At 42.4% G+C, this 15,613-nt stretch overlaps 1 protein-coding gene and 3 pseudogenes across 7 annotated transcripts in view, besides 2 other annotated features; 1 reads left to right on the top strand and 3 right to left on the bottom strand.

Annotated features, from left to right (window-relative positions):
• Positions 1 to 569: an enhancer, noted in NCBI's record as "H3K27ac hESC enhancer chr20:55925942-55926510 (GRCh37/hg19 assembly coordinates)". NCBI's record gives its function as "activates a minimal SCP1, AML or CMV promoter by ChIP-STARR-seq in naive and primed H9 embryonic stem cells {active_cell/tissue: H9 hESC(naive and primed)}" and the evidence as "EXISTENCE:reporter gene assay evidence [ECO:0000049][PMID:30033119]".
• RAE1 (ribonucleic acid export 1) overlaps positions 370 to 15,613 on the top strand; it is a 27,948-nt gene continuing 12,704 nt past the window's right edge. For 2 of the 7 annotated variants that reach the window (XM_005260582.3, XM_011529087.3), the window contains exons 1-5: positions 370 to 473; positions 3,147 to 3,243; positions 3,827 to 3,931; positions 5,561 to 5,653; positions 14,471 to 14,557. In XM_005260582.3, the coding sequence (XP_005260639.2) occupies positions 3,154 to 3,243; positions 3,827 to 3,931; positions 5,561 to 5,653; positions 14,471 to 14,557 (375 nt within the window). In that variant the 5' untranslated portion in view covers positions 370 to 473; positions 3,147 to 3,153. Of the gene's footprint in view, positions 538 to 656; positions 1,035 to 1,092; positions 1,114 to 1,183; positions 2,262 to 3,146; positions 3,244 to 3,826; positions 3,932 to 5,560; positions 5,654 to 14,470; positions 14,558 to 15,613 lie in introns of those variants that run through there. The other 5 variants (NM_003610.4, NM_001015885.2, XM_005260583.3 and 2 more) reach the window with 5 other exon arrangements.
• Positions 760 to 839: an enhancer, noted in NCBI's record as "active region_18145". NCBI's record gives its function as "activates an Ori minimal core promoter by ATAC-STARR-seq in GM12878 lymphoblastoid cells {active_cell/tissue: GM12878}" and the evidence as "EXISTENCE:reporter gene assay evidence [ECO:0000049][PMID:35858748]".
• Positions 6,544 to 7,484, bottom strand: MTND1P9 (MT-ND1 pseudogene 9; annotated as a pseudogene).
• Positions 7,487 to 7,561, bottom strand: NMTRL-TAA5-1 (nuclear-encoded mitochondrial tRNA-Leu (TAA) 5-1; annotated as a pseudogene).
• Positions 7,548 to 8,154, bottom strand: MTRNR2L3 (MT-RNR2 like 3 (pseudogene); annotated as a pseudogene).

Genomic DNA, 15,613 nt, shown 5'->3' on the forward strand with positions numbered 1-15,613 from the left:
GGGCGGGGGGGGCGGGGGGACGGGGGCGGGGGGCGGGGGGGGGCGGCGCGGGGGGGCGGGGGGGGCGGGGGGCGGGGCGGTTCACGATGTTGGCCAGACTTGTCTTGAACTCCTGACCCCAGGTGATCAGCCCGCCTCGGCCTCCCAAAGTGCTGGGATTACAGGCGTGAGCCACCGCGCCTGGCCAGTTGCGGATTTATAAAAGCAGTCGCTTAGTAACTTGCAGCGGCTACATCAACTTTGGACCAATTCGCAAACTGCTGGTGTAAAGCGTTTTTGCGCATGTGCTGTCGCCTTGCGGGAAAAGGAGCCTTTTTCTTCGACGATTTCCGGGCGACGCAGGAAGTGGCTCCAGGGCGCACGCGCGTTGTTTCCGCGGTAGTCAGGGCAGTTTCTACCGCAGGCTTAAGGAGGCTTCGGGCTCCTGGGATTTCTGTCCGCGCTCCTGGCCCTCGTCCTTCGCGCCAGAGCAGGTTCGCAAACTCCTCAGACCCTTCTGCTCCCGGCCGCCGCTTTCCGCCGGGGCGAGACCCCCAGGTAGGCCCCGTGCCGCGCGCGTCCCGTCGTTAACCGCCGCCATGGCTCCCGCAGAGGCCGAGTTGCCTCCCGGGAGCGCGCTTCTGCGGGATGCTGGGGCGCGAGCGGGACTGTTGACTAAGCTTCGTTACTGGGCCCTGGAAGCGAGGTCAGAGCTGGAAATGGCCTTAGGGGTCACCTAGGGCCTAATCCATCGTTTCTCTTGTGGGGGAACTGAGCCTCTGGGAAGGGTCACATTGCGTTAATGCAGTGTGTGTCGCCTCTGTCCCTCCCCCTTACACGTCTGGCGTCTCGTCAGATACATGTCAGCTCCTGGGAGAAGCTTTCCCTGGCCGCTTTGCAGAAGGGCGTCCCCTTTTAGCCTCTTCCACGTCAACCTGCTCCATTTCTTTCGTAGCAGTTACCAGTCTCTGAAACTAAGTCTGTTTCTGTCTTAGCCCGCCAAGTATTTATTGTATACGTATATAGGTGCCACCGTACAGGCAGTACTTCTCCAGGCAAGTAGTATTAAACACCAGCCGCCCTGGGCCAGGCATTGTACTGTGGGACCCAGTATGCATTAAGGGAAGAATCCAGGCAAGTGGCTGCCCTCTTGGAGCCAGCATTCTGGGGGGGAAGAGATTTTGAGTGTAAACAAGAAATTCCAGGGGATGTGATGGAAGATTAGATATGTTAAAGTTGGCAAAGAAGCGTCTGAGGAGGTGACTTTAAAAAAGAATACGTGTGACAGCTTTATTGAAGTATAAAATAACATTAATTTCAACCATTGAAAGTGTATATTGTGAGTTTGGAAATTTTATGCAGTTGCGTAAACATGGCAAGTTCAAATTTGGGACATTTTCATCACCCCAAGAAGTTCGGAGGAGGCAACTTTTGAACTGGGATATGAAGATTCAAACGGAGGTAGCTGTGGGGAGGGAGAAGCAAATCATCCCAAGCTGAAGGAACAGCACTAGGTTTGCTCCAAGGCAGGGATGAGCTTGTTGTGTTCAGCGGAGAAAGGAAGCCAGCAGAGCTAGGAGGGCTGGGGTGCAGCAAGGCGGGAGAGAGCGGGAAGAGATTAGGTGGGTCCCACAGATGACTGTGCCTTCTGAACTTTGGAAGCTTCCCAGTGCTCAGCATAAGGTGTGGTCCACACTGACTAACACGAACGATTCTCACCTACCATGTTCTTTTTCCTAAGTTCATCCCTAATGGCAGAAATGTTCTCTCCCAACTTGAAGGTTGAGGTAGAGGAATAGAGTGAAAGTAATATTTATTAAGAACCTGTAGTGCTTTAGGCAGTGTGTGTGTGTGGCTTCATTTAGTTCTCATAACTCTGTGAAGTAGATATTAGTGTCTCTGTTTTACAGATGAGAAAATCAAGGTTAAGTGACCCGTCCAAAGCCGTGTAACCAGCACCTGGACTGATTGCAGAAGCCTTGTCATGCCTTTGTTCGTTCATACAGCCAACTGGTGTTTCAAGTACCTCTGCATTTGAGGGCAGAAGTGTGGCCGGCAAGGACCACATCCCCTCACGTTCACTAAAATGTACATGTGCTTGTAGCTGTTGCTCTGACCTTTTGTTCTGCACTTATTTTTCATGAAGCTGAGGAAACTCAAATGCCTTCCCCAAATTCCTTGCAGTTTCTCCGTTCTGTGTTGTCTTGTTAGCAAGGATGTCACTCAGCCATTTGGCTCCCTTTGGAGAGGTGACTGGTATGGAGGACTTTTCAGCGTAACAGGTAGTAGGATTGAAATGTGGTTTCAGTGTACGTAACTCCTCGGGGAGTTGGAAGGAAAAAAGAAGGGAAAAGTCGTTTATTGTACCCACTATGAACTAGATACTGCATTTTCTACATAATCTGATTTGATCCCCAGAGCAGCCCTGGAGAATGTGTTAATGTTCTCTATGTTTGCAGAGCAGGAAAATGAAGACTGGTGAGATTAGAGTCCCAACTCCTGAGTGGCAAGAGGCCCTGACCAAACCCTGGTGGGCCTGTTAGATTATGATATTCAAGAAAAAACCCAGGGTGGGAGAGGTTCTTGCTGGGTAAATGTCCAAAACACGATGCCCGACCTTTTTAAAACTTTTACGAAGAAATTGCTGATTCGCTTCCCGGACTGGTTGTTCTAGGTAGTTTCATGCGGATGCTGACCTAAACTAGAATGTAGAAATTAGTAGGAAAGTGAATGCCCACTAGGTGGAAACCTGAAAGCACGGGGACCTGCGATCTTGTTTACTGTTATATTCCTGCTGCGCAGCTCAGGGTCTCTATGTAAAAAATGAGTGAATTTATTTTCTAGCTGGTGCCTACAAAATAATCTGCAATGTATCCATACTGGTTTATTAATGGTAACAAATGAACCGTACTAATATGAGATAATAGGGGAAACTAGATATGGAGTGTATGGGAATTCTATCTTTACTATTTCTGGAAACCTAAAACTACTCTAAAATAGAAGGTTTATGTTTTGAAAGCACTCTGCTCATTGCGCTCTTGTCTGAAAAGTGAAGCCTGGCCTCAAGCCACTTTGAGTATTTCTCTTCTGCCAGTTAATTATCTTACCATTGCCTCTCAGTGATATTAAGAGAAAACCCATCCTTAACATTTTTCATTACTTTTTAGGTTCAAAATGAGCCTGTTTGGAACAACCTCAGGTTTTGGAACCAGTGGGACCAGCATGTTTGGCAGTGCAACTACAGACAATCACAATCCCATGAAGGTACCACGAAAAGCTTCCTGGGGCTTGTAGGAAGAGTTTGGGCAGAGTTTCTCCCATCAAGGACAGAACCCGAGATGACTTGGGAGCCTCCTTTAGGCTGAAAGCTTTGAAACTTTGTCTAACTCATGTTTCTGAAACACTGGAGCACAGAAAATGTGTCCCCGTACTTGTGTCCTGTTCTTCCTGGCCTGCCAGGTCTCCAGAATCACCCAAGGTGCAGATTCCGGTGCAGATTCCCAGGGCCTGGCCCAGCCAGGACTGTTGACTCAGAATTCCCATGGTTGGAGAGAGGGGATGGCAGGTGAAAACTGTGATCTAGCACTGTGGGGCCAGAGTGAACTGGTCATTTAGAAAACAAGACCATGGGCATTTCATTAGCAGCTGCTACTGCTAGTCCTGGTGGTGCTGGTACTTTCTCTAGCTTATTTTTTACTCCTGTCTTTGATCAAAGTAAGGAAAGGTCTAATTCAGTTAGTTCTTGTACACAAGGAAAGGCCACCGTGAGGTAATTAGTGAGAAAGAAAACAATTTGGAATGAAGTTGTGAGCGTGCATACATTTTAACATTGACTTTTTTCCCGCAGGATATTGAAGTAACATCATCTCCTGATGATAGCATTGGTTGTCTGTCTTTTAGCCCACCAACCTTGCCGGGGAACTTTCTTATTGCAGGATCATGGGCTAATGATGTAAGTGCTCCTTAAATACGTGTTCTAGAAATCATCTCTCTTTGTATGGCCAAGGTTAGCTTTAGCTCCGTTGTTTCCCAAGTAAATGAATCAGTTGGACTTATTTATGGCCTTTTTTGAGAAATCAATTTAGGGGGTGTGAACCCTTCTGAATGGCAGACATTATTCTTACACCCGTTTTTGTTAGGAAAGCACAATCATATGTGTTGCTCGAAATTTTCTACTTTAGTTCAGTCTCTTGAAGTTTATTCCCAAATCAAATATCATATTCATCCAGAGTGAACATTATACCCAGTGGCACACACCAACAAATTCCCTTTCTTGGCATCCTGACAGTGTTCCTCAGGCATGTATGAAACTTTTTCAACGTTAAATAATAGCACAGATTTGCCTAGATACTTACTCATCATGTACAAAAAGAAAGACAAAAAAATTACAGTTTACTAAAAGAAAGAAAACTCTGGTAGAAAAATAAGCAAAGGGTGTAAAGAGGGACTTCACAAAAGAAAGAATAAACCTGAACCATTCATCCATGCTTGTAATCAGATAAATGCAAATTTAAGACTTTTTTTTATTAAATTAACAAAATTAAAAGTTTAAAAGAATAATAGTGCCAGCAAGGATAAGCTGAAACCCTGCATGTATGGCTGGTAGGTATGTAAGTTGGCTTTTCCACAGGATAATTGGCAATAGTTATCAAAAATCCTTCAGCTTATACCCTTTATCTCACTGATACCCTTCTGGGACTTGAGTAGGAAATCTGATAATGTACTTCATCTGCATTATCTAAATTAACCTTTATAACAGCCAAAGCACTGTGAACTTGTGAAAATTTTGAAAATTTTAATATCCAGTAGTAATGGCAATGTATAGTATGTTTGTATGATGGAATACCATTGTAAGTTTTTGGAAAAGCTTTTGAACTGTAGCCTACAGCACAGGGGCAGCAGGGGTTAGGAGAACAGGAGGGAGGATGGTAGTCAAGGTTGAGCAAGCTTGCTTTCTACATGTAATTTTTAGAAAGATTTCAGATTATTTGCTGCTTAAAAAAAGGATGTTTCAAGTTGAACAGGCTAGTGATGCAGGTGAGGAAAGCTGTAGCTGCAAAAGTGAAGACACTGTATAATCTAGTGTCTTCCAGAAAATATGCGTACATGGAAAGAAGACTAAGAGCACACAGAACCATTAGCTGTGGTTGTCTGTGGTGTGATTAGGGTGATTTTTATTTTTTTGCCATATTTACAAAATCTCTAAAATGTATTACTTTTTTAACGGAGGGGAGATTATATAAAGTATTCAGAAAAGAGGTAAGTTTCTACTTTGGTCTTGATTCTCTGAATGGTAATGGGTAAGTGATATTCTACTTTAAAAGACATATCTCATAGATGCATTGAGAAAATTATCTGCAATTTTATGTGTAAGCAATAGAATTTGTTTATTTTAATAGCTTAGGCGAAGAAAACAGTTGCTTTCATAGATATTTTAATTCCTTTGTTCTTGAAGTTAGATAATTAGGTTGCTATGAGAAGTCTATGTATGGTTAAGGTGTACCCCATTAGTTTTTAGGTGTTAAATGCAAGCAATACATCGTAATTGCTTTGTTTGCATTGAATTTTTTTGTTACTACAGGTTCGCTGCTGGGAAGTTCAAGACAGTGGACAGACCATTCCAAAAGCCCAGCAGATGCACACTGGGCCTGTGCTTGATGTCTGCTGGAGTGACGTACGTTCCCTTCCATTTCTCGTGTTCCATTTTACTTAAAGTACAGAATGATTTAGAATATTTAATAATCCAAACACAAATAGCATATATGTGTTCATATTGTAGGAATTCTAAGTTTCTGAACATAAATATAGTCATTTATTGATGTTCTTAATGTTGGCTTTAGTTAGCCACTTTCTTTGAAAGCTTTTCTTGTATTAAATTTTGTGTGTGTGATTGAGGAGAGTTTAATGATTAAGGGATAATTTATGAAGAAGCCAGCAGGGAAGGTGAAACACCGGTGCCAAGCTGCAGTGGGCGGGCCTCCTGGAGCACAGCATGAGCTGCAGCTGTAGAGGGGCTTCCACCTGGCGCGGGAGAGCCAGGGGATGAACAGCTGTAGACGGGCCTCGGCCTGGCGAGGGGAGCCAGGGGTTGAACACCCCAGCCTCTCTCCTCCCTTCTCCTGCCATTGCTGCTGGTGGCTGAACCCAACAGTAGTGAGAATGTTAAGGGGCCTGGTGACAGGCAGACACACTGCAGTGCTGAAGAAGCTAAGCCTTGAGGCCCCTTCCGAGGCCTTGTACCTGTTCCTTTAGTCAGGTTTATTGAGTCTGATTTGCCTGCTGTAAAACTGAACCTTTTTGGTATACAGCTCTGTGAGTGTTAAGAAATGCATAGAGTTGTGTTCTAGATATAGAACAGATCCATCGGCCTCCAAATTCTCTTCCTTCCTTTTGTCGTCAAATCCTTCCCAGCTCGCAGCCCCTGGAAACTACTCATCTGTTTTTTTTGTCCCTATAGTTTTGCTTTTACAAGAGTATCATCTAAATAAATCCTATAGGGTGCAACCTTTGCGCTCAGCATGTTGCATTAACGTATGGTGATTGTTTTGTCAGATATATTTCCTATGTTTGGGGTGGGATGCTGGAAATTAGGACAAGCATTGAGATATAGCATCTGCAAAATGCTAATGTAAGTGGTAGGAGTTTTCTCATAAAAGATGTACGAGTTGGTCTTAGCGGTATTGGGGTTATGCCATTCGAATTTGTAAGAAGAGAGTGGTTTAGAAGGGTCTTGGTAATTAAATTTGTGGTATAGAGTTCTGGTAAATATACAGTGTGTAGTGCTCCTAGGAAAATAGTAGTAGTTAGGGCATTTATTATGATAATATTCATGTATTCTGCTATAAAGAAGGGGGCAAATGAGCCTGCGGCATATTCGATGTTGAAGCCTGAGACTAACTCTGACTCTCCTTTTGTTAGATCAAAAGAGGCTCAGTTAGTTTCTGCTAGTGTGGGGATAAATCATATTATGGCTAGGGGCCATGATGATAGGAGCAGTCAGAGGAATTCTTGTGATGAGTATGTGTAAGTTAAATGAGCTGCTTATCAGTAGAACTGATAGCTGGATAATAGCTAGGGTGACTTCATATGAAATCGTGTGGGCCACAGCTCATAGTGCGCTGATTAGTGCATATTTTGAATTAGATGCTCATCCTGATCATAGAATAGATAGACGGCTAGGCTTGATGTGGCTAGTTTAAATAGGAGGCCTACATTAAAATTAGAGGATCTGGTATAGGGAGGGGGGTTCATAAGAGGAGAGCGATAGAGAGGGCTAGGATTGGAGCAATAATATAAAGGGTGATAGTAGATGTTAAGGGCCGCGAGGGTTCTTTGGTGAAAAGTTTTATTGCATCAAAAAATGGTTCAAGCAGTCTGTAAGGACCTACAATGTTGAGTCCTTTGCATAGTTGTATATAGCCTAAGATTTTTCATTCGATGAGTGTAAGGAACGCTATCGCGATAAGAGTGGGGATAATGAGCAGGAGGAGGTTAATTACAGGCATGTTGTTAAGAAGAGGAGTTGAACCTCTGATTATAAAGTGTTAAGTTTTATGCAATCGCTGGGCTCTGCCATCTTAACAAACCCTGTTCTTGGGTAGGATGTGTGATGATTTAAGAGACTGGGATGGCATCATCTATGGAGTGAGGGCACTTTATGAAGTGGGCCCTATTTCTCTTGTCCTTTCGTAGTAGGAGGAATGTTAAGTAGGTAGAAACCGACCTGGATTACTCTGGTCTGAACTGAGATCACATAGGACTTTAATCATTGAACAAACAAACTCTTAATAGCGGCTACACCATTAGGATGTCCTGATCCAACATCGAGGTCGTAAACTCTATTGTCGATATGGACTCTAGTATAGGATTGCGCTGTTATCCCTAGGGTAACTTACTCCGTTTATCAAATTATTGGGTCGATGTGTAATAACTCACTTAGACTTGTGTGGTCTTAGGTTGTTAGGAGGTTGAATTATGCTCCGAGGTCACCCCAACCAAAATTTTTAATGCAGGGATAGGAGGCTAGGGCCTGTAGGCTTGTTGGAGTTTTTATTTGCATTGATGAATTAAAGCTCCATAAGGTTTTCTCGTCTTATTTGTTTATATCCGCCTCTTCACGGATAGATCAATTTCACTGGTTGAAAGTAAGAGACAGCTGAACCTTCGTGTGGCCATTCATTCAAGTCCCTATTTAGAGAACAAGTGATTATGCTACCTTCGCACGGTCAGGATACCACAGCTGTTGAATATATGTCACTGGGCAGATAGTGCCTCTAATACTGGTAATGCTAGAGGTGATGTTTTTGGTAAACAGGCGGGGTAAGATTTGCTGAGTTCCTTTTATTTTTTTGTAATGTTTCCTTAGAGCATGCCTGTGTTGGGTTAACAGTGCAAATAATACGGTGTTTATTATATCATTTATTAATATTGGGATGTTAACTGTCAGTGGGTTACTCCCGTCTGATGTAAGCTTATGCAATGGAGAATGTCTTCATCTTACTTACATTAACATTACTGCTTCTATTAAGTAATAGATTAGTCCAATGTGATGTTAGGAGTTCAGTAGACTGGTTAGAATTTAAGATAGTTAGATATTGAGCTTAAATGCTTTCTTAATTAGTGGCTGCTTTTGGGCCAACTGTGGTGGTAATGTTTTTTACTCTCTGTAGGAAGGGTCTAAAGAGCTGTCTGTCTCTCTAGACTAACAGTTAAACTTACAGGGAGTTTAAGTAATTCTGTGGGTAAGTTGAAAGTTGAACTAAGCCAGCCAGCTATCACCAGGCTCGGTAGGCGTGTCACCGCTACTCATGAATCTTCCCACTGTTTTGCCACATAGGTGAGTGTGCTCTTTCAGCTATTCTTGGGTAGCTCGTCTGGTTTCGGGGGACTTGGCCATAGTTCTATGTAAAGTTATTTCTAGTTAATGCATTATGCAGAAGGTATAAGGGCTTGTCTTTGCTTTTTAGTCCTCAATACAGTTCTTTCATCCTTCCCTTACAGTACTGTGTCTATTGCCAGAAATATCTACCAGGGTAGAAATTTCTATCGCCTATACTTTTGTTTAAGGTAAATGGTTTGATTAAGATAGTTTGATAATATTTTTAGCGAGGTTTGGGGCTAGAGTTGTCTGAGTGGTCAGGTCATGATGAAATCTTCTGGATGTAAGCCGGATGCTTTGGGTTAAGCTACACTTTGGTTTATCCAAGCGCACTTTCCAGTATGCTTACCATGTTACAATTTATCTCCTCTATACCTGTGTAGAAAATTATCAGTAATAGTGATTTCTAGAGTAGTATTCGAGGAAGGTGATGGGCTGTGTGTGCGTGCTTCATGGCCTTATTCAACCAAGCACTCTGCTCTTGGTTTACTGCTAAATCCTCCTTAAGCCCTTAGATTTCATAAGGCTGTCATGAGATTTTCTGGACATAGAAAATGTTGCCCATTTCTTGCCACCTCATGGGCTACACCTTGACCTAACGTTTTTATGTGTATACTTGTGCTTACTCTATAACCTTTTTAGGGTTTGCTGCAGATGGGCATATAGGCCAGGGGCAAGAGGTGGTGAGACGTATCGGGGTTTATTGATTATAGAACAGGCTCCTCTAGAGGGATATAAAGCACCACCAAGTCCTTTGAGTTTTAAATTGTTGCTTGTAGTACTCTGGCGAATGGTTTTGTTAATGTAACTGTTAGGGTTTAGGGCTAAGCATAGAGGGGTATCTAATCCCAGTTCTTGTCTTAGCTACTGTGTCTTCAGGGTATTAAAGCTACTTTCGTAGTATGTTTTATTTCAACTGGAGTTTTTTACAACTTAGATGGAGCTTAGCACTCTTTACGCCAAGTTCTATTAGCTTGGGTTAACTGTATGGCCATGGTGGCGGGCACGAAATTAACCAACCCTAAATATTAGTATAGCTTAGTTAAACTTCTGTTTATTACTAGATTTAACACTGCTGTTTCCTGTGGGGGTGTGGTTGAGCAAAGTGTTTTGAGCTGCATTTGTGCATGCTTGATACCTGCTCCTTTTGATCCGGGTGATCTAGAGGACATTTTCACTGGGGTAGGGGTGTTTGCATGTGTAATCTTACAAAGAACTAATAAAAAGGTCAGGACCAAACCTATCTATAAGGTTTTGTGGACCCATCTAGACATTTTCAGTGTCTTGCTTTGAGTGGTTAAGCTACATTAACTGTGTAGAATACTTAAGTGGAAAATTAAAGTATGAGAAAGAAAGAAAGAAAGAAAGAAAGAAATAGAAATAGTTGCTTACAGTTCTGGAAATTCAGGGTCTTTAAAGTTGGATTGGCAGAGGTTTGGCTGAGAGGGTTATTCATAATTAGAGTATGGTTGATTTAGGGTTATGGTGTACTGGGGCAGCACTTTCAGAGGGTTATGCTCAAGGTATCATATCAGTATTAGGGCAGAAGTTTAGTTAATCTATTATACATAGTGGAGGATTTATTGGGTAGGAGGAGCCTTAAGATTTTTTAGAAAATTACATCAATCGAGGGGTAGCTGTTGGGGTGTTCGTGGTTAAAATATGTCTGGGCTCTGACTGGGTTGCATTTTAGTTTCTTGTGTTTGGGGTTTGGCAAAGGTATGTTTACCTAGGTTGATGGTAAAGTCAGATTAGGAGGGGGGAGTTTGCGGATTTATTCGGAAATAGTTCTTGAAATTGAGCATACGTGCATGCGTGAGCATCTATTGATTAATTGTTAAGTCCTTCAACCATGAATTAACACCTTATGGTTGTTATGTCAGTCCGGAATATTCAGTATAAGTTCAGCTACAATGGATTTGGCAGGAGTCAGGCTGTTGCCATGCTGAGTCACAGCATCCCAAAGTTAAAAAATACCAAATGCATGACAGTGCTCCCGTGACTGGCTAATAGGGTGGTAGTGATTAATCCATCAAGATGTCTTATTTAAAGGGAACCTATGGGCAATCTTAATTTTATGGCCATACGTTAATGCAGGGGTCCCCAACCCCCAGGCTGTGGACCAGAACAGGTCCATGGCCTGTTAGGAACTAAGCTGCACAGCAGGAGGTGAATGGTGGGCCAGTGAGCCTTACTGCCTGAGCTCCGCCTCCTGTCAGATCAGCGGCGGCATTAGATTGTCACAGGAGCTCGAACCCTGTTGTGAAGTGCACACGTGAGGGATCTAGGTTGTGTCTTCCTTATGAGAATCTAATGCCTGATGATCTGAGATGGAACAGCTTTATCCTGAAACCATACCCTCACTTCACCCCAGTCTGGAAAAATTGTCTTCCATGAAACTGGTCCCTGGTGCCACAAAGGTTGGGGACCGCTGCTTTAATGTGATCTTATTTAGCTTATATATAAGAAATAATTCTGTGTATAAACATTTTGACATAGTTTAGGGGCCACAGTTGCTCCCATTTTATTCAGTAGCAAGGATCAGCTTCTCTGAGGCATTTTTATCACCTGTAAAATGTCTTCCTGACATACCTGATTAAGTTATTGTGACACTACATTAATAGATATATGAAAAGTTTGAAAAGTGAAGCATTCATTTCATATGCAACTTATTTTTAGTTTACACACAGAAAAGTAGCAGCATGAGTAGATTTGAAACATTTCTAATGTATTTTGTCTGTCTTTACTGATCGGGCAACGGGTCAGAATTAGAAAGTTTCTTATAAAGTACGGCAAGAAATAGAATTAACTAATGCAGGAATCCTTTTGCTCAAATGTTATCTAATGGCTATTGGAATTTATAAAACGGAATCTAAGTTTCATAGCATCTAGTGGGAGGATCAGACACAGGAATGAGAGTTGTACGTTCTGACGGGGAGGCAGGATGAACTGGTGCTGGGTGGGAAAAACAATACAGAAAGCAGCTGTAAAGTTTGGAAAGGCTTCTGTGAATGCTTTACAGAAGACAAGAATAGAGGTAAATTTTTGTTTGTTTGTTTGTTTTTGAGTGTTGCTCTGTAGCCCAGGAGTGCAGTGGTGCGATCTCAGCTCACTGCAACCTCCACCTCCTGGGTTCTAAGTGATTCTCCTGCCTCAGCCTCCCAAGTAGCTGGGGTTACAGGCGCCCACCACCACACCCAGCTAATTTTTGTATTTTTAGTAGAGATGGGGTTTCGCCATGTTGCCGAGACTGATCACAAACTGCTGAGCTCAAAGTGATCCACCCGCCTTGGCCTCCCCAAGTTCTGGGATTATAGGCATGAGCCACCACGCCTGGCCAGCAGAGCTGATTCTTGAAAAGTAAACCATTTGCCTATAGCTTTTTAAGCATTGTCTCATCCAATTGAGGCCTGGGTTCAAATTTCAGCTCTGTCTCTTCCAGGCTTTTGACTTTGCCAAGTTGTTTAATCTTTCTAAATTTGTTTTCTTGTTTAGAAAATGAAGGTAGGCTGGGTGCAGTGGCACTTTGGGAGGCTTGGGATGAAGGATAGCTTGAGGTCAGGAGTTTGAGACCAGCCTGGGCAACGTAAGGAGACCCGGTCTCTACAAAAAATAGAAAAATTAGCCGGGTTTGGTGGCGCACACCTGTAGTCCCAGCTACTTGGGAGACTGAGGCAGGAGGATCACTTGATCCCAGGAGACTGAGGCTGCAGTGATCCATGATGACACCACTGCATTCCAGCCTGGCAACAACCCTGTCTCAAAAAATAAAAAAAATTATCTGAGTGTGATGGCACATCCCTATAGTCCTAGCTACTCAGGAGACTGAGGTGGGAAGAATCCTTGAGTCCAGGAACTGGAGAGTACAGTGAGCTATGATTGCACCATTGCACTCCAAGCTGAGCAATAGAGCAAGACCGTGTCTCTAAAAAAATAATAAATAACAATAATAAAGTAAATAATAAAATGAAGGTAATAACACATAATAACATTATTAATTCAGCAAATAATTGTCAGGCACCTATTGTATGCTAAATCCTGGAGATAAAGTGGAAATCAAAGTAGGCAAAACCTACACTTCTGAAACTCATGATCTCTTAGGACAAACAAGAAGAACAAATACAACTTCTCGATAGTGGAAAATTGTGATGACTAGATTAAACCTACACGGAAGGATTAGCACAGTGCTGTCACAAAGTGGTTAAGGAGCTTGCCTGTGAGAACAAAAGTGACTGGCTGAGCCTAGGCCCAGACCTTCCTGGTGATGGAGCCCATGTGCTTAGCAGCCTCCCTCATGGAGCTTTACAGGAAGAGTCGGAGCTACCCGGGAGAGAAAGACATGTAGGTAAAGGCACAGGGGCGCTAAAGACCCAAAGTTACCTTGGAGGCATAAAAGCCAAACTTGGTAAAGTTGAATCTTCAGTACTTTAAGGACATGGTTCAAACTCTGCAGTTGAAGCAGGTAGACTTAGAGCAGCTGGTGGAGCATTCACACATACTCTTTCTCTCCCCAGTGTTTTGCTGGATTCTCCTTTATGTCTGCACGTGTCCACTGAGGTTGGCATGCTCTGCTCCACAATGCTGATGACGTGGTGGGGCTGGCATTATGAGATTGAGAGGCCAGTGTTCACTTGGACTCAGGGCAGCCCTCTCCATACACTCATACCTTTCCTTTGCTGTGTTTTCAAGGATTTGTAGAATTACAACCTCATTAAAAGCATGAGGAGCAAGTTTTATCTCTTCTTTCAAATGAAGTCACTTCAATGGAACAAGTTTTTGCTAGAGGAGAATGGTGGTCAATTTTTGAGCTCTGGAACCAAAAATGAAATATAGACTAGGCCAAGGTTCAGCAAACTATGGCCCATGAGTCAAACCTGACCCATTGTCTATTTTTGTAAATAAAGTTTTATTGAAATGCAGCCACACTCATTGACATAATATGTCTGGGTGCTTTCAAGCTGCAGTGACAGAGAAGACCTACTTTGAGTTCTCTGTGTGAATATTGTGAAACCATCACACAGTGACCACTAATTTTTAAATCTATTTGACAAGTTAGATAGGACCAATGACTGTTGTAAATTGGCATAGCTTTATTGCATGTACTTGGAAGTGTTATTAGATAGGGACCGAATAAAAGTAATTAAGATTATAGTTATGTGTTTTGTATATAGAGAGAAAGATAAATGTGACAGAATGTTTACAATTGATGAATCTATGTGAAGTGCTTATGGGTATTTTTTGTATTTTTGCAACTTTTCTGAAGGCTTAAATTTTATCAAAATAAGAAAAAAATTTTAAAGTGGTCCATGGTTGCTGCTGAGAGGAGACCTGGGATCAGGGACAAGAGAAAGAGTTTGTTTTCACTAGTTTGTGATTTCTGATTTTTAAAATCCTGTTTATATGTTCTCGCTTAGAAAAGTAAGTCAATCATGAAATAGATGAAAATGAATTTTTTGTATGATGCTGTAGTTTGCAGTACACTGGTCCCCAAACAATTGGAAAAATAAAGATTGCCAAAGTTTGCCTCAATATGTTCAACGTAGTATCTAAATATATATATAGTTAAAGATTTAATTTTTCTTAAAATGCAAAATTTTCTCCATTTTATTTTAGGATGGGAGCAAAGTGTTTACGGCATCGTGTGATAAAACTGCCAAAATGTGGGACCTCAGCAGTAACCAAGCGATACAGATCGCACAGGTAACAGAAGCCTCTGCAGAAAGGCTAGGCACAACTGGTACCCAGGACTGTGATGGCTCTTTAAGTGAAATAATTATTATAATTATAATAAGAAAACGTGCAGTTAGACTCTGTCAAATCAATTAGACAATATAACAGAAACCTCTTTAGCACAAAAATAACAATTTTATAACCATTCTCATTCTTAACTAGTGTTCACAGATTGTCTTGTCATGGATCTTCATATATGTATGGATGGAGTCATAAGGAGTTAGTGACATTAAAATCTATGAAAGACAGGTCATAGGTGGTCCTTGCCATTCACAGGTTGGACGTTGTGACCTCGTGCATGGCTGGTCTTCTACCAACTGCATTTGGTCACTTACTCATTCAGCAAGTGTTCTGTCTATGGGCCAGTAATAGAGCAGCGAGTAAGAGGGGCATTTCCCCACACGTGTGGAACTTTTACCGTTACTCAGGGACCACTGGCAGGTACTGTGTGAAGAATGCCAAGGGCAGAAGTAATGAAGATAAGAGAACTTAGAACCAGAGGGTCCAGCCTGCTAAGGGGGCTTCAGGAAGAGCACAGTGCTGAAACATTTTCAGGAAGGCACTGCATACTCAGGTCACAGTGCTGTGTGCTAGAAACATCTCATTGATCTCTTAATTCCCATCACCTCAGTGAGTAAAACTGTGGTGGAATCCCCTGCTTGTTATTTCTGAATATCTCCCTAAGGAGGAGCTTACTTTCACTCGCACATATGTCTTAATTATGAGTAAAAAAATTAAAGTTTGCTAGAATGGAAGGTAGATATATGTTTTTGTGTTAAATTGACTGTTTTGATTATGGGTGTATTAGTCCCTTCCTGCATTGCTATAAAGAAATACCTGAGACTGGGTAATTTATAGAGAAAAGAAATTTAGTTTGCTCATGTTCTGCAGGTTGTATGAGTATGGTGCCGGCATCTGCTCGGCTTCTGGGGAATCCCAAGGGAGCAGGAGATGGAGCAGGCACATCACATGGCAAAAGCAGGAAAGAGAGCTATGGGAGAGAGGAGGTGCCATACTTTACAACAG

Source organism: Homo sapiens, chromosome 20 (assembly GCF_000001405.40).
Source record: "Homo sapiens chromosome 20, GRCh38.p14 Primary Assembly".
Lineage (NCBI taxonomy): Eukaryota > Metazoa > Chordata > Mammalia > Primates > Hominidae > Homo > Homo sapiens.